Genomic DNA, 24,277 nt, shown 5'->3' with positions numbered 1-24,277 from the left:
TTGACATTGTTTATTTGAAAGCTGGATACTTCTTTCTAGTTAATTGTCTGCAGTCTCCCACTGCTTCTGTTTTCAGAACTTATGTAGAAGGCAGAAGCATGGAGTTTTTGTTTATTTGCTTGTTTTATACTGGACAATTTTGGCTGGGCGCAGTGGCTCATGCCTGTAATCTTAGCACTTTGGGAGGCTGAGGCGGGCGGATTGCCTGAGGTCAGGAGTTCCAGACCAGCCTGGCCAACATGGTGAAACCCCGTCTCTACTAAAAATACAAAAATTAGCTGGGCGTGGTGGCAGGTGCCTGTAGTTCCAGCTACATGGGAGGCTGAGGCAGGAGAATTGCTTGAACCCAGGAGGGGCGCAGGTTGCAGTGAGCAGAGATTGTGCCACTGCACTCCAGCCTGGGCGACAGAGCAAGACTCTGTCTAAAAAAAAAAAAAAATACTGGATAGTTTTGTATTCAGTATTAGAAAAGTTGTCAGATCACTTGCCATAGAAGTCTTTAAGAATTTATATAGTACATTATAATTTAGTAAGTGTTGGCTTTATTTTTCCTGCTATTCTAAATAGTCAATCCAAATTTTATTTCAAAATACACATATGTAAAGCTTAGTCTATTTGACCAATAATTTAATCTATGTATATAAATATATTTTAAGGTTCTTAAAAGTATGAGTGCTTTTAAAATCAGAATAAAAGGCTTTTTATAATAATTCTAAATTTCATATTTACAACTTGATTGTATTGAAAAGGCTACAAAGCAAGTCTTGAACCCTGCTTGCAAAATACACTGAACACTAAATATAATCTTAGAATATCTAGTAAACAAGTCTGGGTAATAATTGATAATTGGAGAGAGAACATAGCCTTTTACCGAAATTGTGGAACATTGAGTAATTAAAAGCAAGTGCTTGACAAATAAACATGGCATTGTAATTTAGTTTGTATGAATGCTTGCAATTTAATGGGCTGGCTTTCTCCAACTGCTAGTTCCACATTATACAACAAATTGACATTAAATATAAATTTATAATGGAAATGACTATATTTTTCATTTTTGCTAGATAGTAACTGAAAGGAAGGTGTTATGCTTTATTATTTGTTTCTGCTCTAGAAGGAAAAAAATAATCAATTACACATGCCTTCCGTGTGTCACTGTAGTTTTATCTTTTATGTGGTATGTTACTTTATGAATCTTGTAAAAAGTAAAATGTTATCAGATGACACAGCTAACTTAAACTCCTAAAGACATTCCTGGCTTCATTTGACTTACTCTGGGATTTCTCTAACATCCCACATATCATCATATTCTGCTCCTTCTGGAATCTCTTCTGAATTCCAGATGTCCTCATTATTTTCCTCGCTGGTTTCAGGGATGACTGTGAAGAAAGGGAAGATAAAGCTGAAGCTCATGCTTTTTTCCTTCTCTAAATTGCTCCTGTTCTTCTTCACACTCAGTTTGGGTTCATTGAAATAAAACATTATTTGTAATCGCTAGCTTTTTTTTTTGATCAAAACAAACTAAATTAGTAACTACTGACTAAATGTTTCTATCAATACAGAACCAATACATTGTAGAATTTTAATAACAACTGTAGAGAATTTGGCAAAAACATAAACAAAAAGAAGAAAATAATCTACAATCCAACTGCCTGGAGATAATCAATGTTAGTATTCTGTTGTGTATCATTCCAGTCTCTCTCTCTCTCTCTCTCCATATACATATGCAAAGAAATATTACACATTTTTCCAGAAACATAAATAGGATTATATTTAAAAATATTTTTATATAAAAGAAAAAATTACAACTACAATCAATCTGATGTGGAGAGAAATGTCTTATCTTGCATTGTTTTTACTATATAAAAACGCTTTGATATCTTTTCCATGCAAGCATGACATAATTCTCAATAATATCAATTAAAGAAACTGAAAGCAGTGGATACAATGATCATTTTTTAGTCCAGCATTTTCCTCATGCAGAGCTGAGCATGAGGTTGGGTTTCTGCATGTCATCTTTAAATGTTTAAAAATGGATAGGCTCCAGTAGGCATGCAAAAACCCAGCTCACATTTGTTTTAACTATTGTAGCATCCGGTGGAGACCTGCATTAGGTGCAGAGCACTGCTTTGAGTCATTTTAAGCATTCCCAGAAATGCACCCGATTGTTAGGTTTTCAATTCTGGCAATTCTTTTGAAATGATCAGCTTCTATCTAGCACGGGCTTTGTAAAGCCTAACTACAGATTTATATATAACATTTTACATATGAATCATTGCCTTCAGAATTTAAAGATTATTAGACCTACATTATCAGAAATACAGGCAGCACAGAAATACATGAAATGTGAATTAGACTGCCATGGAGCGAATATCTCTTGGGTAAGGCAAATAGCCTCTTGAGTATGTATAGCAATAATAACTGAAATTTTAAAACCATCCTTAGACCTCATTTTAGCCATTATTTTAAACATTTGTCCAGATTAATCTTTTGCAATTAACTAAATTGATGAATGAAATTCACTTCCTCTCCCTTCCTATCCTCTGGTTAATGGTGATCATGACCAACAGAATTAGAGCCTTTTATATTTTTAAAGATTTGTAAAATGTTCAACTCTGTAAAAATGTATAGCTCAAAATGCTGGGGAAATGTAAAAATATTATTTAGCCTTATTTATTGGACTTTTTTTTATAAGTAAACTCAAAGATGTTAATGTATAAGCCTCTTAATGTAAGATAAAATTGTGTAGTTATTTGTTTTATTGTCTTCTCCAAAAGTCTATTAGCTCAATCAGAACAGGGACTTTTTCTGTTTTGATCTGCATTGTAGTATCAGAGATGGTCATACTGCCTGATACAATAGGTTCTCAATAAATATTTATTAAACAATTCAATGAATGAATTCCATGAAATTGCTAGAATATAGGAAGGTAGAAGGTAAAGAAGCTAAGCATCTTGGTAAATAGACCTTAAAAAATAAAAAATGATCTAACCACACGTGACTTTCTTGGTCTTCTATCTCAGAAAATATGCAAGGAATGTGGATAATTCAAGGCAAATATATTTCCATTATTAGAAAAACTATTTACCTGCAGTGGTAGAGTAAAAACAGCATCTTTATATGTAAATGGCTATTCATCATTTCCATGATTATTTTAGTTCATCTTTTTTCTATTTAAAAATTATTTATTCATTTCTCCATTTTTAATGAACAAATAAAAATTGTATATATTTATGATATACCATATGATGTTCTGAAATATGTATACACAGTGGATGACTAACTCAAGCTGATTAACATATGGATTACCTCACCTACTTATCATTTACTTGTGATGAGAATACTTAAAATCTACTATCTTAGCAATTTCCAAGTATACAATACATTGTTATTTAGTTCATCTTAATAAATACTAGTATTAGTACTTATTACTCTCCCTATAATTTCTCTACCAAGGAAAAGATTATATTGATCTATATTGCTTTGTTAAATAACTTACCTTTGAGCTCTTCTATTTGGGGTGGTCCAATATTCCCAGGACCCATGGCTCCAATAGTAGATAAACCATTTGTCTGAGGGAGGAGAAAAAGTTCAATATTCTGTAATTAATACTTGTATAACCTATATGACTAGTGATACTTTAAATTTGATAGGATTTCCATAAAAAAACTCATGGAGCTTTCCACTTTAATTACCCATCATTGTTATAAAACAGAAAGACAGATGTCAAGTACTATTTCGAATATGCTTTCCTTGTTCTTTCAAAAAGTGTTTGGTTTAATAGACTCAAGAGCAGAATTGATCTTTAGTCAGGCTAAAACCCTAGTTCCAGCTCAGTGAATCATGTATCCCTGGGGATAGAGGAACGAGCCACATTCATCTCTATGAAGGTTAGAACCAAGTATTAGTATAAAGGCATTGACACTTTTGGGGTTTAGCAGTGTCTGGTTGTAGTCAGATGGAGGACAGAGTATGTGAAAGTTTTATAGAAATAAAAACTAACACTAAGCAGAAGCTAAGTATTCAGACTTCAGATTAATCATTCAAAAGCCCTGATAACTGCTTTTACTTTTTTCCACTATAGGTATGAAACACTTCCCTGTCCCACCGCCTCATGACACTGAACTAGTGGATTTAAACAGCAACCACAAATTAATAGTCTCTAATACATGCTGATGTACTTCAGTCTTCATAACTTCATAAGTTTATTTTTCCATCTTCTGCACAAGCATACACATCCCCAAAGGACTTGCCCTGACTCACCAATACAAGCAATCTTCATTTTTTTCAACTAAGTATAACACATAGCGACACCACCTCATTGGCCCGTCTCAGGGATTCTTTGATATTTCAAGAAAATCCCAATTTCTTACCAATTGTTTTTTGCTGATGACAGACCCTGCAGCTCCAACTCACTCCACTGCTGGCAGTCAAAAAATTCTTATCTCCTTGCCTACTGGCCAACTAGCACCTCTATCTCTCTTTTCTCAGGCCCCTGTCCTCATCTCCTAAGACTTTAGACATGTACAAAAGTTAGAATGTCTTGTTTGGGCAAGGAGAGTAGTGTCTGTTCTTGAAAGCTGATGGAACAGCTCACGTGGGTCTTTATTATGTGAAACTATTCCAAGAGTTATAAATCAGAAATTAATCTATAATCTCTCAACAGTGTCTGAGACAGTAACTATTCCTTTCCAAAAGGTGTTTCAAAAGTGCTATGTCTGCGGTTAAGGCATTACAGGCATTTTTATGTGAAAATCCCAAGATAATATTTGGGACATTTTTTTCCCTCTTTTTTAATCACTAATGTCATGTAAATGTGTAGTACTTTTCTTAAATTATTAATCATCAGAACACTAATAGTCAGAGTAAAGCATTTCTCAGAACATGAGGGCCTCTTGTTTAGTTGAGTGCTGCCTTCCACAGAAAATTAAAAGCAGTAGAAGTAAAACCTTGGACATTCTTGACAAAAATTGGTATACTTTCCATGGACAGTGATTGGCTCAGAACACATGGGAGTTTCAATTTATTAATTTAATGAAAATAAATGATTAAAAATAAAATTTTCAAGTTAAAAGATGGAATGGGATCATAAAAACATTAAAAACCATCTGGCAATTGTTTTCTATTAGAACATCATTTGAGCCTTTACCATGAATCTACAGCCAATTATCTGAGCAATTTATCACTGCAATTCATGCCACTTTGTAATATGTAAGACAGAACATCCTCGTTATAATGTCTGTGAAGAGCAGTGAACCTTATTTCCCACAGGCCTTAAGATCCCCTCATGGCTTTGAAAAATGACAGACACACTCTCTCCTCAATCTCCCAGATTCTTAACAAGTCATATAGAAAAGGGATAGTGTAAATGAAGCAATGTGTATGCAACTGTTCTCTTGCTGTTTTCAGAGAGCATATTTTCAAAAACACATCACTCTTGTAATCATCCCACAGTTCCCAAGATTAATACATGTTAAAAAATGAAAAGCAGTTTCTCTCCTGGAAAATGTAATAGTTCATTAGAAACATTAATTATTCTCCCACTGTTCTGATACTGTATGTCCTCTAATGATATCTGTACTGTGGTGTCTGAATGACCAATTATCTCAAAATTGTTTATAACCCAGATATACAGAATCATACATTATTATAGTAATTTTCCTTTATAAACTGTACAACTCAGTAATATTATGTTAGTCTATTCTCATAAGCACTCATCTTTTCTCCTAGAAACACCTCTAGATGCAAATAAACACCTCCAGCCATAAACACCAAATGGAATAGGCTCTGTAACCAGGGTAAATCCTTATATTTGAATCTGTCCCAGTTACAAGTTCCACTTCACTATATTCAAGGTCACTGTTTCTCAAATACTTGATATACTTTTTCTATATGGCATAACCTTACCTTTCCTAGGATGTAGGCTCCAGAAAATTATTATTCTGCTACTCAACTAAGGTAGCAAAAATGAGCTTGCCTTCCCAACTTCATTGATACATTGTTCCTAACTTTTTCTCCTGTATCCTGTTTGTTGTGTATAGCTAATGCTGTCATTAACATCCTGATGTTTCTTTGTTTAGCCTCTACTAAGACTTTTCCCTGACTAAAACTTCCTGGTTCCTGATCCTGGCTCCAAGCTGACTCAGTTCTTCTACAAATGTTATTCCCATTTCACATCTTATTTATTCTGCCCTATTCCACCTAAGCTCTTCCTTAGGGTGGTAGCTCAGTTCAGTGTCAATCTGAGCCACTGAATTTGCTGCCTGTTCATAGCTTGCTTTTTTCTCCACATTGTGGCAAAAATAAATTTTGGGAGGAGTAAATTGATATGTACGTTTGTGAAAGATGATTTATTCATGATAAATTGGTCATATAACAAAACACTTCATTAAAATAATTTTATGCAAATTGACAGATTCTGTTATGATATGGGATTTTTTGCCCCAAATTTTGTTTGCCCTATCATAGGCAGTCTGATAGCCAAGGCTCACCGATAGTTAAGAAATAGGAGAATGGAGAGCAGGGAGTTATATAAAAGTGTTTTAATTGTTCTGGGAATACTGGCAGTAACCTTGGAGTGGTCAAAGGTCAGTTCAATGAACTCTTCTACCCAAAATGAAGCCCATCTTGCTACTGCAAGCCTTGCTGGCATTACCTATCTTGACCCCAAATGCTACTCAACTAATTAGACTCCACAACTTTATTTGTGCATTACTGGGAAGCCAATTTTGGTAGGCTGAAACTAGTTTGCCCTATTATTTGGCTCAAAAACTTTCTGTTCTGCGTTAATGTGTAGACAAATTAAAAAATTAAGGGACTGGTACTTGGTGGTCCAATTAATACTGTATAACTGAAAATATTTGTTTTATAGAAATATTGCCTAGGCTTAAACAATCCTAGCTACCACTCTGCAATGGTTGTCAAGCATTCTTTGGCTATAAATATAAATGACAACATTTTGAGATGTGGCTATTGCTACCACAGTTACAGAACTATTTTCCTATTCAGTGTTCAGGTGGTTTAGAAAAATATAATTATCTTTGCTAGAAATGTACTACAGGTTACATTGTCATGCATAATCAGCCTTGTAGCTTCCTGTGAATGTATCAAATGACACAGCTCTGTTCCCACAGCTAGGTGGGAACAGGTTATTCAAATACAGTTCCACAACTTCCCATGAACAAAACTAATTCAACTGTTAAGTATATGACCACCTGTCCATAGTCAGAATCATCCTCTTCTTCAGGATTAAGTAGCTTAGAGAGGGCTTCCAGAGCTGTAACTGAAGAAACACTCTCAAAGTCTACATTTTGAGATTCCATATTTTCTGTCTTCATATTTTCAGAATCCATATTTTCAGATTCCATTATCTGAAGAAAAAGATAATCAGAAAGAGGTATTTTACTTTTCTGTTTTATTTAAGACATGAAGATGTTTTATTGTCATATCTCCCTTCTTTCCCTGGATCACTCCATTGGTTCTTATACTTCCTTGGAAATCCTTTTAAACTCCTTCAAATATATGTATTTTGCTAACTCACAGACCTGGAGCACCAAGTAAACTCAAACATTCAGCCTGCTTTACTAAAATGTCATACTCAAGCTAACAAGCACTTATTGAGCACCTAGTATAGTGGTTCTCGGGTTTTAATGTGCTTAATAATCACTTGGGGGAGTTGGTTTAAAATGCAGATTCTTAAGCCCTACCTCTAGAAAAAGTGTATGATACATTATGTATCATCATTTGGGAACATATTTTTTAGACATGAGCAGTGCTTCAGGGCAGAAAGGTTGAAGTCATGGTTACAGGGAGACCTATTTAAAGTGAAGAAGGACGCTGGCCTATAGAAGGTGGGGTACAGTTCTTGAGGTTTGTGCACAAGTTGACTACTAGAGATGAAGGTTCAGAATAGGGCAGAATAGGGCTCAAAGTTCCAGCTGGAAAAGAGAAAACAAACCAGGCACTGTGTCGGTGGCTTTCTCGTGTCACCTAGGTACCCACAGTGGAGGTTATGAAGGAATGTTATGGTTCCTTTGGTACATTGGATACTGGATTCAGAAAAACCAGATTAATTCTGAATCCCTACCAGTTATTTGGAAAGGAACTCTGGCCTGGTTCTCATTAGGTGGGAAGTAGGCCAGTGTGAGCAGTGGGAAGCTATACCTGTAGATTTAGTGTCTTTAATAACTGCAGCTGGCACATAGTCAGCAGTTGATTAATACCAAATGAAGCATGACTAAATTCATCTGAATGTTATATTTCAAAATAGTCATTTGGAAGGTTATACACTGATGTAAATTATGCTATCAATGCTCAAAATATTTTGGGATTTTTCTTTTTATTTGGAATTGCCTTCATATGTATCACCAAGAAAATAGGTATCATTATGGTATCATTATGGTATCATTTGGTTTGATTACACATCAGATTTGTCGCCAAGTGATTTCTAGATATATTTAGATATCATGTCTACTTTCAAAATATGAAGATTTTCTTCTTTGAGGATATTCAAAAGAATGTGCTACATGCCTCAAGGTGATTCTAAAACAGAAGTTTCAAAAGCAATTTTAGCAATAACAACAACATTAGAGTAAATAGATTAGTCTCCTAAAGTGACTACTTCGAAGGGGATGGTCCTCCTTGGAACGTGTACACTTGTTTTTGTTAAATTATTCACAATAATTCTTAGTAACACTTTATATATCTGAAGCATATTAGGAGTTAGACTTCTTAAAGTACAATTGGACTTCCAAATTATGCTGGAATAAAATGCCATAGATTTGCACTATAGCTCAATTAAAATAGAAATATAATAATAAAATTACCACTTTAGCCAAAATATTTTTGCCATATCAAATGTAATAATAATCTGTAAACACAAATTAATAAATCATGACAACAAAAATAAATAAATCAATCATGACAAGTTTGTTGATATTGTATTTTGATAAACAAAAGAATCCCAAATATTTTGTGACTAACTAGTTAAATGGTTCAAAGTATCAAAAGAGAAAAACAGTTTGTGAATTTTTAGAAAAAAACATTCAAAATTCAATGGAAAGGAAGATTCTACTAGCTTTTTAAGAAGTCTAACATATTTAGAATAACTTATTCAACTTTATTAAAAAACATTTATTAAAATTCATTTGACACAAGTGGATCACAGCTGAAAAACTAAAACAGGAGGACTTTTTAGGAACTACAAAGAACTATTTGTAGGGAACTATCTTCACTACAATGAACTATGCAGTGTTAGTTTATAGCTCTATCTTTTATTTCTAAATGTGATATACATTTAAGTTCATCCTGAGTCTGGCAATCAAGGTCCTTCAGGATATAGTCCCAACGTAATTTTCTGTCCTTCCCTTCTATTATTCTCCTACATATTCTGTTAAAAACTAAACTGCTTATTAAACATACTCTATAATTTCCTGCCTTTGTACCTTGGAGTGCATTCTTCCTTTTGCCCTGACTTATTGGATAGTACAGTGTAGCGATTTTTAAAAAGAAGATTCTGGCCGGGTATGGTGGCTGACTGACGTCTGTAATGCAAACACTTTGAGAGGCCAAGGTGAGCTCACGGGTCACGTGAGCTCAGGAGTTCGAGATCAGCCTGAGCAACATAGCGAAACCCCGACTCTACAAAAAATACAAAAATTAGACGGGCGCGGTGGTGTGCCCCTGTGGTCCCATCTACTCAGGGGCCCGAGGCAGGATGATTGCTTGAGTCCCAGAGATGGAAGTTGCAGTGAGCCCAGATCGGGCCACTGCATTCCAGCCTGGGAGACAGAGTGAGATCCTGTTTCAAAAATAAATAAATAAATAAAATAATAACAATAAAAAATGAAAAAGAAGATTCTGGAGCCACACTGCCTAAAATGTTTGAATCTGGCACTGTCACTTAAATAGGCCAAGAATAAACTTAAAGTAAGGAAAATTTAAGAGTTTCAGTAAAAACAAAATATATTACTGTCTTTTATTTGAGATTTGTATTTAGAAAATAAATTTTTTAGGCCCTTTGTTTTTCTTTCTCTCCTTCTCTTTTGCTAGGCCAATGCTAATGGCAACATTTTCCAGACAGAGCCTTTGATTTTCCCACATTAACCTGAGTACTTGGGGTCTTCATAAATAGAGGCATGATTGGACCATCTACTAGCCACAATGAGCTAAAGCAACTGACACTCCAGAACCAGCTCATTACCATAACACTGGAGCCAGTCAGGGGCTGAAAAAGTTCAACCAGATTGGCTCCAGACCCACAGCACTTAAGCAACATCAGTAACCTTGAGTTAAAGTCAGACTGGTTCTAAGGCTGGGATCATGCTTTCTATTTTATTTGTCTCCTTCACAGTATCAATAAAGATGGCTTTTGACATCAGTTAATTGTAGAAAAGTCTAGGTTAAATTAGTGAAAACTCTGAATTACAGACTATTCAAATAGATAATAGATTTTATTAATTCAAGTATATATGGTAAATAAAATCAGGGTGATAAAGAACCACCAAGCAGGGCTGGGCGCAGTGGTTCACGTCTGTAATCCCAGCACTTTGGGAGGCTAAGGTGGGTGGATCACCTGAGGTCAGAAGTTCAAGATCAGCCTGGCCAACATGGCGATACCCCGACTCTACTAAAAAACACAAAAATTAGCCGGGCATGATGGCGGGCGCCTGTAATCCCAGCTACCTGGGAGGCTGAGGCTGGAGAATCACTTAACCTGGGAGGTGGCCGTTGCAGTGAGCCGAGATCATGCCACTGCACTCCAGCCTGGGTGACAGAGAGAAACTCAATTCCCTGCCCCCCAAAAAAAGTCACCAAGCAATATCCTTTTGGAACTTGTTTAAGTAAATAGATATATCCCTATGTAAAATACTGACTTTAACACAATGATTTGCAAGTACTCAAAATCTATTTATTCTCTAAATAAATTTGGCATTTCTTCTGCAACTTTATTTTTATTTATTTATTTTTTTTAAATCAGCTTTCCTAGATTGAAGCAACTTTATTTATATAGTGCCTTATTTAGCAATTCCTCCATTAAAATTCTTGAGAACACAACAGTGATATCATCTCTGCCTATGTCTGAATTAAATTATAATATACTGACTAATTGCTTTCTGCTTTGCATTTTTTGATAACTATACTCATCAATGATTTCCCACCTATTAAAAATAATTCATTTTGAATTTATCTTTACAATACTAAGAATGGTTTCTTTTTCAGGTCTCTAACTTTCGCTACCATCAAATGTACTAACTCATAAGTAACTATGGGAACTTAACAGTTTTCGTTTCAAATTTAAAATATATTTAAGGAAGATGCTTTTTGAAAGTACCTAGAATCTTTCATAGAAAAAGAAGTCAAGAAATTAAATAGTTATTGATTACTAAATCAAAAAAAGTGTCTTTTGGCTGGGCGCGGTGGTGCATGCCTGTAAACCCAGCACTTTGGGAGGCCGAGGCCGGCGGATCACTTGAGGTCAGGAGTTTGAGACCAGCTTGCCAACAGGGTGAAACCCCGTCTCTACTACAAATACAAAAATTAGCCAGGCATAGTGGCACGCACCTGTAATCCCATCTCCTCGGGTGGCTGAGGCACAAGAATCGCTTGAACCCGGGAGGTGGAAGTTGCAGTGAGCCGAGATCGCACCACTGCATTCCAGCCTGGGCGACAGAGCGAGACTCCGTCTCAAAAAAAAAAAAAAATTGCGTCTTTTGATTTAATATTTCCTCTGTTTTAGTCATTTATTCATAAGGAGTCTGTACCATCCCAATCCTTTTTGAAAATGGAGGGGTTTTTTTGTTTTTTTGTTTTTGAGACAGGGTCTTGCTGTAGCCCAGGCTGGAGTGCAGTGGCGCGATCTCGGCTCACTGCAGCCTCGACCTCCCTGGCTCAAGTAATCTTCCCACCTCAGCCTCCCAAGTAGCTGGGACTACAGGCTGTGCCACTGCACCTGGCTAATTTTTGTGTTATTTGTAGAGACGGGGTTTCGCCGGCTAATTTTTGTTATTACTTGTAGAGACGGGGCTTCACCGTGTAGCCCAGATGGGTCTCGAACTCCTGAGCTCAAGTGATCCCTCGCTTAGGACTCTCAAAGTGCTGAGTTGACAGAAAAATTAGTTTTAATATGGAGAGGCAAATCCTTGGTATCTGTAGAACCCATCCTGAATTATCGAATGCTCTATAGTACATTTCAGACAAACAATACACTTAATATTTTTTTCTCTTCGTTTATCTATCTCAAGTCTCATACTCCACCTCTATCTAAAAAGAAGTTGGAGGGACTCTTTTTAGATACAGGTGGAGTATGAGAACTCTTTTGTTTTTGAGACCACATCTCACTCTGTCGCCCAGGCTAGAGTGCAGTGGCGCCATCACGGCTCGCTGCAGCCTCGATCTCCAGGGCTCAGGTGATTCTCCCACCTCAGCATCCAGACAGGCAGGCGCCAACACACCCGGCTAATTTTTGTATTTTTAGTGGAGACCAGGTTTCGCCATATTGCCCAGGCTGGTCTCGAACTCCTGACCTCAAGTGATCTGCCCGCCTCGGCCTCCCAAAGTGCTGGGATTACAGGCGGGAGCCACCGCGCTCGGCCTGGCAAATTTTCTTGCTGTGCTTTAAATTTTCTCCCTAGTCCTATTTTTTTCCTTTCTTCAGGAAATATGGTCTCTGTTCTGAATCCTTATCACAAGAAGCTCTTAAGGAGTAATGACTCCTCCCTCTTTGGTCAAACTAGGTTCTCTCCCTTCACTCAGATTTAATTTTTTTGGTCACACTTCCCCACCTTTTGATAGTTACAGTCAAACGACATGTAATACTTACTCTCCCAATCAGCCCTTGGCGAGTAGCAGGTCTTGTAGGTACAAGTAGTCTCTGCACAGTACACTCGGGCCCACCAAGTGAAGGTCTGATTACTTCTCACTCCTCAGCTTATCTAACCAAGCAACACTGGAACCCTCAGACCACAGCGTTCAAGTTGTCGCACAAAGGACATTATTCACGTAGTAAGTACTGGGGCCATTTTTTTTTCAGTCTGAAGTGTGATATCCCCCAAAACATTTCCTAACCAAGGCATGCTAGGCCAGGATAAATCGTGCCTGCACATATAAAACAGAAGGGTACAGTGGCTGCTCCAGTTTGGAGCACCCAGGTCCTCCTATAAGAAAATATGGTTTACATTCCCAAATTAGTCATTATTAATGGGAAGGGAGAACCAATAAGTGCATGTGAGAGTTGAGAGAAGACCAGTTGGGAAACTTTCAGATGTTTACTTTTGCCTTCTGACAGTCGATCAGCATCCATCTTTCACTCACATCCTGTAAAACCGAGTTTTGTTAAAGCAGCGTCCTGTTTCTAGAGTCTAGGATAGCGGGATTTAGTGAAGAGTCTAGGATAGCGGGATTTAGGGAACGGGTCTTCTCCACCTTGCCCAACTTGTGGCTTTTTGGGGTATCTCGCAGAGTTATAAATATCTAGAGTTCTCCCTAGTTTTTCTGATAGCCACAGCATCTGAGGACCCTGTCTTTCCCCGTCTTGAGGTTCGAGTTTCCTCACCTTGGTCAGTTTTCCCGTCTCTGGCTAGGCTCCGAAAATAGACTGTGCAGAGCGTGGCGTCTCTCCGTTGCTAGGGTAACAACTTTGTTTTGTTCCCGCCCCCCACCTGCCAACCTCCGGGTTCCCGCTTGACTTTTCTGGCCAATCATAGAAGAGTCTCATCTGAGACTGCACTGGAATCGACCAATCCGAGCGCGTCCAGGTCAGGGTCACTGGTCGCCCTTTCTAGTTAACCAGGTCGACCCCTTTTAAGCCTCAGTCTCGGTTAGCTTCACTTCAGCGGGAACCTGCCCACTAAGGAGGCCGATTCTTTCCGGCTCGAGCAGGTCCGGACCCGCCCCTCTGGCGTCTAGCAGTCTCGGAGGCCTGCCCGTATAGTTCAGGGCCGGACAGCGAGCGGCGGCGACTTGCCAGTAAGGTAAGTTTGTGGGGTTTTCGTTTGTCCCGTTCGTCAGCAGGCTTCGCTCTCTTTTGCGCTTTTCCCGCGCGTGAATTCCCGATCTGAGGACTCGAACTCCAGCCGATCTGGAGAGACGGGGGCAGAAGGGTAGGGTCAGTGGGCCGGGGGTAGAGAAGGTTTTGCTACAGTCCTCCACGCCCCCAGCCTTTCACGTCTCCCCCACGCGACAGAAACACGTGTTGTGCTTCTGTCTTGGCTTGTCGCGGGCGATAGTGTGTTTGTATGTGTGCAGGTGGGATCGCGCTTTTTATTCTCCTCTGTAGGCAAGGCTTCCGGGCCCCAAGTCCCCGGGGGAGCACCTGGTCAACTGCCACCCGGTTCCTGTGGGGCACTGGCTTGAGCTACGTGTCGTTCCCACTCTAAGGAACATCGCGACTCCGGGAGCTCTGCTTTTCCCGCCTCGGAGTGGAGAAAAGCAGGCGCGCCGCTCGCTTGCCACTGCTAGGGAATCTGGTTGTCTTAAGTTCACTTAGAGATAGAGTTGTTACCCTAGTTTCCCATAAATTCCGTGGCTTGGTTTTAAACAAAGGGGCGGCGGGGGGATGGCGTAATAAATATTTGGAGTATTCAGGACTGATTAGCCATGATCAATAGTAGGACCCCACAGAAGGTTTTAATGAATGGTTACTTTTGGTTATTCAGGTATTGGAATTTGATTATGAATGAACTAAACTGCTTCCCTTCTTTCTATATACCATGCATTTCTTAACGACCATCCCATCTGGCATAAGAGATAGTGAAGTTTGATTAATTTGTCCCTTCTACTTGTTCTTATCTACAGTAAACAAAAAATGGGGGTAGAATAAGGTTATTGGCTAAAGTAACGTTATTGGCCTTTTGGCCAAATTACCAATACCTTAATTCCGCTTATTACTGTGAATGATCAGAGTTTAGCTGTCTTGCATTTTGCTAATTCACTAGATACTTGTGGAGCTTAAATTATAGATATTATGCCATCTCCTTCTTCTTGCTTTTTTGTTTTTATTCTGCCTCACTGTGCATTATTCTAAGTCTGTAATGCTCAGCCGGTGTTTTTCAGACCTTTTGACTGTGACCGACAGTAAGAAATAAATTTTATATTGTGACCTAGTACACATGTAGACAATATATAACCGACAACTGTTTTTACAGAAACAACACTTAACACTTACTACTTGCAATATACTCTGATAATTTCCATTACATTTTAAAAAATGTACACCACAACACCCTAATGATTTGTCCCTAGACCTTTAGTTTTCAAACTTGTGTGTGCACTTTATTTAAAATTTATTTAAATAAATAATTTATTTAAAATTTATTTAAATAAATAATTTATTTAAAATTTATTTAAATAATTTATTTAAAATTTATTTAAATAATTTATTTAAAATTTATTTAAATAAATAATTTATTTAAAATTTATTTAAATAATTTATTTAAAATTTATTTAAATAATTTATTTAAAATTTATTTAAATAATTTATTTAAAATTTATTTAAATAATTTATTTAAAATTTATTTAAATAAATAATTTATTTAAAATTTATTTAAATAAATAATTTATTTAAAATGCAGATTGCCCTGGCTCCCTCCAGAAATTGGTTCTGTGGTCTAGTGGGACCCAGGAAGATATACAATATAGCATATATGAAATACTTGGTACAGTGTCAAGTGCACAGGTGTTCAGTGAATATTAGTTTTCTTCTTGGGGAACAAATGTTATTTATCTTTAGGGATATAATCAACTCTTCAAGGTTTCATCTGTCCCTGGCAAGGTGGCGTCCAATACTAAGAACTGTTTTCCCCAGGTAGAGGAAGTAGCGGGGTGGGGGATGGGTCCAGGATCTGAGATTAATCTTTAAGCAGTTGGCTTCCCTGAACAATGTCGGAAATACAGAAGCTTAGAGGTTGAGGAACATAAGGATTAGAGAGGTTCTGTGACTTTCCCAGGATTGTGCTGTCAGTAAGTGGATCTCCGAGACTAGAAGTCACTTCCTTATTCTAATATTCTTGTCCATTCTGCCTTGATAGCAGCCGCAATCTGGAGGCAGTGGTTGAAGCAGAAAGAGAGCTTCCCTAACTTGCCTATCCCAAAGGAGAGACAACTGAATTTGACTCCTAGTTCGGTTTTAAAGTAATGAAACTTCTAACCTGCACATTGTGCACATGTACCCTAAAACTTAAAGTATAATAATAAAAAAAAAGAATAATGGTGAAATAAAGGTTTTTTTAAAGGGAAAAAAAATAATGAAACCTGAGAGATCTAAAATATTTTTTAAAATACACCCAAAGGTTTCTGTGGATTTATAGCTATGAAAAATGGATATAGTTTAGCTAATTCTTTTATATAGAGTATTTTAAAACACTGGTTAAATAATTTATTAATGCAACATTGAAAGAAATTAAAGATGAAAAATCTCACTCAATTCTGCTACCATAATATAACTGATAATTCTGTTCCCCTCCTATCTTTATCCACATGTACCCATGTTTTTACATGATTGTGATCCTTTTTCATATACTTTTTTGTTATTTTTATTTAATACTGTTTTGGAAATTTTTTTCTGTGTTGTGATGATCTTTATATTTTGCATTATTAACAGCAACCTAATATTTCGTAGAGTGAGTTGGCTGTAATTTACTTAGCCTAACTAACCAACAACAGAAAATAAGATACTATGTGTCCTTTGAAAAGGGAGATGTAGCCAGGTGCGGTGGCTCACACCTGTAATCCCAGCACTTTGGGAGGCTGAGGCGGAAGAATCACTTGAATCCAGGAGTTCAAGACCAGCCTGGGTAACACAGTGAACCCCCATCTCCATAAAAAATATTAAAAAATTAGTCAGGCTTGGTGGCATGTGCCTGTGGTCCCAGCTACTCAGGAGGCTGAGGTGAGAGGATCGCTTGAGCATGGGAGGTTGGGGCTGCAGTGAGCTGTGATTACGCCACTGCACTCCAGCCTGGGCGACAGAACAAGATTGTGTCTCAAAAAAAAAAAAAAAGTAAAGGGAGATGTGCTAATATAGTTATTCCATGATGTCTTGGGTTATTTAAAATCATTTCTATAACTTATGTCTTACATAACAGTGAGCTCAATAGGAAGCCTAACAGGAAGGCCAGATCTAGATCTGGACCTGAGCTGGGAGTTTTTGCCCCTCTTGGATGTATGAATTTGACAATCAAGATTTCTATGTGCTAGAGCAGGCAGTGATCAGTCCTGGTGTCCTTTATACATATGAGTTAGGTTGAATGTACTTTTTTTTTTTTTTTTTTTGAGACGGTCTGCTCTGTCGGCCCAGCTGGAGTGCAGTGGTATGATCACAGCTCACTGCAGCCTCGACCTCTGGGGCTACAAGTAGCTGGGACTGTAGGCACATGCTACCATACCTGGCTAATTTTTTTTTTTTTCTTTTTTGGTAGGGACTGGGCTTCACCACGTTCCCCATGCTGGTCTCAAACTCCTGGGCTCAAGCAATCCACTTGCCTCAGCCTCCTAAAGTGCTGGGATTGCAGGTGTGAGCCACTGGGCCCAGCCATGAATGTTCTTTTTTTTTTTTTTTTTTTTTTAAGACAGTCAAGTGAAGCAAAGGGAGTGGAGAAGGAACAAAGAATTCTGTAACTGGTTGTGATTAATTAGTTGTATTAATAAATACCACTGTAGTCAGACCAGCCTGAATTTATTTTTTTACTAAGTATAGACATTTTTAAAATGATTTACTTTAAAAAATATATGAATCACAGCAGCTTCACATAGGTTCAAGTGCCATAGTAACACTCACACTGTTACTTTATGAATATTTTTTTCGAAGATTATATGAGTGTGTATTAATTTATAATTTAAACAATTTTTATAAAGGAGCCAATTAAGTTGGCTGGGAGAATAAAGGCTACAATTAGTCTATATTAGCACATCTCCATTTTCAAAGCACACATATTGTCTTATTTTCTGTCATTCTAAAACATTACTTCTTTAAAATTAAGAAATATTTCAAACAGAAAAATAGACTTATGAACCATCATCCATGTATCTACCAAAGATTTAACAATTGTTATAATTTTGCCACATTTTCTTTAAGGTGTTGATCTTTTTAAAGAACTAAAACATTACAGCTATCTCCTTATACCCCTTCCCAATCTCATTTCCTTCCCATCCCAGAGATACTTTTCCAAAGTTGGTATACATTTTTCCAATCTGTATTTATAAGTGCCCTGACATGTGGCCATAAATGATTTGTAATATATTGTTTTGTGTGTCTTTAAGATTTATATAAATGGTATAATTTATTCTTCTGAAGTTTTTTTTTCTTTTTTGAGATAGGGTCTCACTCTGCTGCCCAGGCTGGAGTGCAGCCACGTGATCTTGGCTCATTGCAACCTCCACCTCTTGGGCCCAAGTGATCCTCCCACCTCAGCCTCTGGAGTAGGTGGGACCACAGGTCTACAGGTGCGCACCACCATGCTTGGCTAATTTTTAATTTTTTTTTGTAGAGACAAGGTCTCACTATGTTGCTCAGGCCGTTCTTGAACTCCTGGGGTCAAGTGATCCTCCTGCCTCAGCCTCCCAAAGTGCTGATATTACAGGTGTGAGCCACTGTGCTTGGCCCTGCAGCATTTTTTTTTTTTTGGTCAGCAGTATTTTTGAGATTTTAAAATGCAAATAAAGTTATTTTTTATTGCTATATAGTATTCCAATATATGACTAAATCACTTTTAAAAAAATCTCCATTCCGTTATTGCTGTTGGACATTTAGGTTGTTGTAAATATAGAGATAAGATTCATATAAATCATGCAAATATTGTTATGATTCCACTTGCATGAGGTACCTAGAATAGAGTAATTCATAGAGACAGAAAGTAAAGTAGAGTTTACCAGGGGCTGGAGGAGGGAGGAAAAGGGAGTTAGTGTTCAGTGAGTACAGAGTTTCTGTTCAGGATGATGAAAAAGTTTTGTCAACAGATAGTTGTGACAGTTGAATAACATCATGAGTGTACCTAATACTACCAAAATTGTACAGTTTAAAATGGGTAAAATGGCAAATATTATATGTATTTTACCACAATTAAAAAACTAAAAATTAGAAACATAAGAATTATGCTTATTTTTTCAGAAGCATATGTTTAATTGCTTTATTTTCTGTGGAGTGAGGCCATGAAAAAAGTGAACATTCCTATTAAAAAATAAACTTTAAGTTATATTAGCCAGATCTGTTTTTCCTTGTAAATAACAGTTTTTGAGATCTTTATATGACAACTTTTCTTACTTGCATGTCTGTAAAAGGTTTTTATGATTATCATTCTTCAGAATTCTCCAGTTTTTTGTTTTTTGAGGGTTTTTTTGCTCTACTTTTCCAGAGTTTTGGGAAAGATTCTTATAAATATGGGCGTACCTTTGAGGCTGTCTTTTGCATTTGACTGCTATTCACCAGTTAGTTCTTTCAAGTATTTTACTCTCTCTCCTCTCCTCACCTACCCTCCCCTATTCCCTGCCCTCTCTTGCATCCCTCCATCCCCTTTCCAAGCTGCCATACCTCTTCCTAGGTCTTCATGCCCACACATACACTCTGCCATCCCTTGGGTCCTTCTCAGCTCCTCCAAGATTCTCTCTCTCTCTCTCTCTTTTTTTTTTTTTTGAGACGGAATCTCGCTCTGTTGCCCAGGATGGAGTGCAGTGGCGCGATCTCGGCTCACTGCAACCTCCACCTCCCAGGTTCAAGCGATTCTCCTGCCTCAGCCTCCTGAGTAGCTGGGATTACAGGCACTCACCACCACGCCTGACTAATTTTTGTATTTTTAGTAGAGACGGGTTTTCACCATGTTGCTCAAGGCTGGTCTTGAACTCCTGACCTCATGATCTGCCCACCTCAGCCTCCCAAAGTGCTGGGATTACAGGATCAAACTTCACATGAGCAATTAACAGTCTTCAGCAATATCACACTTTTAACATTTGAAGAATTGATCCATCCTCATTTGGGATTAAAATAAAAACTTTTTCTAGGTCTTAAAATTAGATTCTGACCTTAAGGCTTTGAGAAGCTATAGTATGAAGGGGGAAAAAAGAACTTAATGTGAAAGATAATCAGCAAATTATACTGCTTAAGATGTTTAATATGAACTTGAAACCAATGCACCATTTTCAGAAGCCCTATATTTTGTTTTGGCATAAGATGATTACCATTTGAAGTTTGATCCCTCTCTGTTTCCTTCAAAATGCCTGGGCTAACTTCACCTCTCCCTATCAATTTCTCTCTGGGAACAGAAACATTTAGAGTAAGACATTAGTAATTCAGTTTTTACTTCCAGAGTTGGCATGCATAACTATTACTGACAAATAGGGTCATTACTGTGCTTTGAGGCTTAGATTTTTCTACTTTCTTCTTGAGTACTTTTTCTGGAAGACTTTATATCTTGGTAGAACAAGGGGTTTCTTCTGTGAATTTGTACTTCCTTTGCATCTCTGCCTCTCTAATTAATGATGTGTTAAACAATCATATGTATTGCCAGAGGTTGCTATTTATAGAAATGGTTTTATAACATGACTAATCATATGTGAATTTTCAGGCCAGATCTCTCAGTCATGATGTTCTTGAGAAGGTTGAGTGCATTCGTGGAACTTGATGATTGTCAATAACTAGGCGGTTTAGGGAAAATGTTGCCTCTAAAGAAGAATAGTCTATTTGCTTCTAAGAAACTAGGAACAATTTTTAATAAATCGTATGGCTAAGCTTCTGTGCTGGTCACCTCTTGACAGTCATTTCTCAAAGTAAATGTAGGGGAATGAATGATTACTCTCAAAATCATTTATACTTTGTGAGACAGAAATCCTTAAACATTATGCTGAAATGGCTTATGATAGGTACCCAGGCTTGAACTGATTTTGTTTCTGCCTTTTGACACACAGTAGATTTATCTTCCTAATGATGTGTTGCTTAAGCTAGTATTAAAATAGAAGAATAGTGTCCGGTTCCTTCACTTACTAGTTGCTTGACCCTAGGAAAGTTAGTGTCTCAGAGCCTCTGCTTCCTCAGCTATAGAATGGAGATCAAAATACCTTTTTGGTTTGTTGTTAGGTAATGAAGGTAAGGGATTTCAGTTTCAATAAGTGCTTCCTTTTATCTTTTCCCCTTTATATTACATAAGAGAGTCTAGAACTTGAGTGATAAAGTGGTGTGTCCTGAAATGACCATCATTTATTGATTCTAGATCAGGTTTCCTACTACCAAGAACACTCCCAGAATCAATAAATAATAGTAGGTAGTACACAGAGCAGATAATTTGCATGCTGATACATGAGATAGATGAATAGTAATTTTTTAAAATTATAGTTTGAAATCCAGTTTATGTTCACTGTCTGGGCCAGCTGATAGTGTGTCCAGAATTGGTTCCTTCTGGTGGGTTCTTGGTCTCGCTGACTTCAAGAATGAAGCTGCGGACCCTCGCGGTGAGTATTACAGTTCTTAAAGATGGTGTGTCCGGAGTTTCCTCCTTCTGGTGGGTTCGTGGTCTTGCTGACTTCAGAAGTGAAGCTGCAGACCTTTGCAGTGAGTGTTACAGCTCTTAAAGGCAGTGTGTCTGGAGTTGTTCATTCCTCCTGGTGGGTTCGTGGTCTTGCTGGCTTCAGGAGTGAACCTCCGCGGTGAGTGTTACAGCTCATAAAGGTGGTGCGTCCAGAGTTGTTCTTACTCCCGATGGGTTCGTGGTCTCACTGGCTTCAGGAGTGAAGCTGCAGACCTTCACGGTGAGTGTTACAGCTCATAAAGGCTGTGTGGACCCAAAGAGTGATCAGCAGCAAGATTTATTGTGAAGCGTGAAAGAACAAAGCTTCCACAGCCTGGAAGGGGACTCGAGTGGGTTGCTGCTCCTGGCTCGGGTGGCCAGCTTTTATTCCCTTATTTGGCCCCACCCACATCCTGCTGATTGTTCCATTTTATAGAGTGCTGATGGGTCCATTTTACAGAGTGCTGATTCGTCCGTTTTTACAGAGTGCTGATTGGTGCATTTACAAACCTTTAGCTAGACACAGAGCGCTGATTGGTGTGTTTTTACAGAGTGCTGATTGGTGTGTTTACAAACCTTTAGCTAGACACAGAGCACTGGTTGGTGTGTTTACAAACCTTTAGCTAGACAGAGTGCTGATTGGTGCATTTACAATCCTTTAGCTAGACAGAAAAGTTCTCCAGGTCCCCACCTGATTAGTTAGACACAGACCTGATTAGAAGACACTGATTAGTTCTTCACCAGCAGTGAGGATAACCCCAGCATTATACTTTGGAAAGCTTTCACATAGCACTTTACATAAAATTAAATTAGACAAGGTAATATATGTGAAGAGTCCTATACAAACTTATTTTTAAAATAATATTTTGGTTATTCACTTAATGGAACCGTCAGAATTTTAGAAGTGAGGAAACTGAGGCTCCAAATGCATTTAAATGACTAGAACAGTCTAGTGGGCATCAACACTCATTCAGTTGTTTTCTTTATCTCCAGCCATTTAGTTAATTCAGTAAGCCCCATTTAGATTGGACTGCCAGGTAGGGAACATTCTGCTCATTTCTAGTAGCCCTTCTAATAAGCTCTGATGATTTTTGGGGGCCTAGTGTGCTTTCTGCTGAGGGCCTTTATCATCTAGTATTCCTTTCTTTGAATATGTGTGCTTGCATTGAGTCACCCAAGAGAGACTGTAAGCTGGGCTCAACATACAAAGCTGTAGTTTTATCAGTTTTAAGCTCCTGTAGTTAGGCAGTGTGGATAAGGAGAGGTTACTTAGAAGAGGAAGAGAGGTTGTCTGGAGAAACCCAACAAGGCAGAGATAGCGTATTCCTCTTGATTGCCACAGATAGGGAGTACAGACCTGTTTCCCATTTTTTAATAAAGTAATGATATGCATAGGGAAGCTAAAGTGTGCTAAGTTCCTGTTTGTTAAAAAAGGATAGGGAATACTGAATAATTTCAGACTTTGTTTTAAAAAATATAAATTTAACTCTGTGTGAAAAGAAATAATTCAAGAGAATGCTTACAAATTAATAGAATATGTAACTTCCACGCCTGGGAAAAATTAAGAGAATAAAGAAAATCTCATCAATCCAAATATGCAGAAAAAGATAAAAGATATATAGAGCCTGGCAAATAAAAAATACAAAGTAAGATGGAAGAAAAATCCAGTAGTGTTAGTAGTCACAATAAATGTAAGTAAGTTAAACTCACTAAGAGACTGTCAGATTGGATTTAAAATATTTCGGCTATGCTACTTACAAAAACCACATTTAAAATGACACAGAAAGGTTGAAAACAAGGGAATAGAAAAAGATGCACTAGGCCAATACCAACCTAAAGAAAAATGGTGAGGCAACATCAGTGTCAGACAAAATATGATTTAAGGCAGTTTAGTAATAATTAGTTACTTCATACTGATGAAAGAAAGAAAACTTACCAAGAAGAGTCTGTCAACTGTGAACTTCATATAGGCCCCTAACAATACAGTCTTGAAATACATAAAGGAGGCCGGGCGTGGTGGCTCACACCTGTAATCCCAGCACTTGGGGAGGCTAAGGCGGGTGGATCACCTGAGGTCAGGAGTTTGAGACCAGCCTGATCAACATGGTGAAACCCCATCTCTATAAAAATACAAAAAACAAAAAAATTAGCCAAGCGTGGTGGCACATGCCTGTAATCCCTGTTACTTGGGAGGCTGAGGCAGGAGAATCACTTGAACCTGGGAGGCGGAGGTTGCAGGAGGTTGCAGTGAGCCAAGATTGTGCCATCGCACTGCAGCCTGGACAACAAGAGTGAAACTCCATCTCAAAACAAACAAACAAACAAAAGAAATATATAAAGGAAAAAGCAATGGGATTATAGGGAAAAACTGACAATTCATAATAATTGGAGGCTTTTAAACACCTTTGTCAGAAACTGGTCAAGCAAAATAGATTAAAAAATAAAAAAAGCTAAGGATATGAAATATTTAAGATCTAAATGAGATGGAAGGGCAAGAATATTTAATTCCAAATTTTTAGTGACAAAAATGTACTTTTAGTCCAAAAAGTGATTTTTTTGTTTTATTTCTCAAATTTCTAAGGCAGAAAAAATTAAAGTTATGTGCTACATTTAATAGGAAGATTCTTAAATTATTTCCAAAAGAATAGAAATTCCATAAATGCAAGGGCATAGGAAAAAAAATCCACCTTTTGATGGCTACCAGAAAACTTTAGTTTTGTCTGCAATATGACATTGATGACAATACCTAAATCTGGAAGTGTTTGTCAATTTCTTTTACAGGATAAACACCC

General features: G+C 37.6%; 2 protein-coding genes across 5 annotated transcripts in view; one reads left to right on the top strand and one right to left on the bottom strand.

Moving 5' to 3' along the window:
* The window catches only part of DNAAF6 (dynein axonemal assembly factor 6), a 37,637-nt gene extending 24,008 nt beyond the window's left edge, over positions 1-13,629 (bottom strand). The window contains exons 1-5 of one of the 2 annotated variants that reach the window (NM_001169154.2): positions 13,550-13,629; positions 12,818-13,092; positions 7,212-7,367; positions 3,497-3,569; positions 1,271-1,376 (exon numbers count right to left, since the gene is read on the bottom strand). In NM_001169154.2, the coding sequence (NP_001162625.1) occupies positions 1,271-1,376; positions 3,497-3,569; positions 7,212-7,364 (332 nt within the window). In that variant the 5' untranslated portion in view covers positions 7,365-7,367; positions 12,818-13,092; positions 13,550-13,629. The remainder of the gene's footprint in view (positions 1-1,270; positions 1,377-3,496; positions 3,570-7,211; positions 7,368-12,817; positions 13,093-13,549) is intronic. The other variant, NM_173494.2, reaches the window with a different exon arrangement.
* NUP62CL (nucleoporin 62 C-terminal like) overlaps positions 13,807-24,277 on the top strand; it is an 83,007-nt gene continuing 72,536 nt past the window's right edge. For all 3 annotated transcript variants that reach the window (NR_033676.2, NM_001433614.1, NM_017681.3), the window contains exon 1: positions 13,807-13,967. The gene's annotated coding sequence lies outside the window, so the exon portion shown is untranslated. The remainder of the gene's footprint in view (positions 13,968-24,277) is intronic.

The sequence above is a fragment of the Homo sapiens genome, chromosome X (assembly GCF_000001405.40).
Source record: "Homo sapiens chromosome X, GRCh38.p14 Primary Assembly".
Classification (NCBI taxonomy): Eukaryota; Metazoa; Chordata; class Mammalia; order Primates; family Hominidae; genus Homo; species Homo sapiens.
Note: the sequence above shows the minus strand (reverse complement) of the source record. Positions and strands in the feature narration are given on the sequence as shown.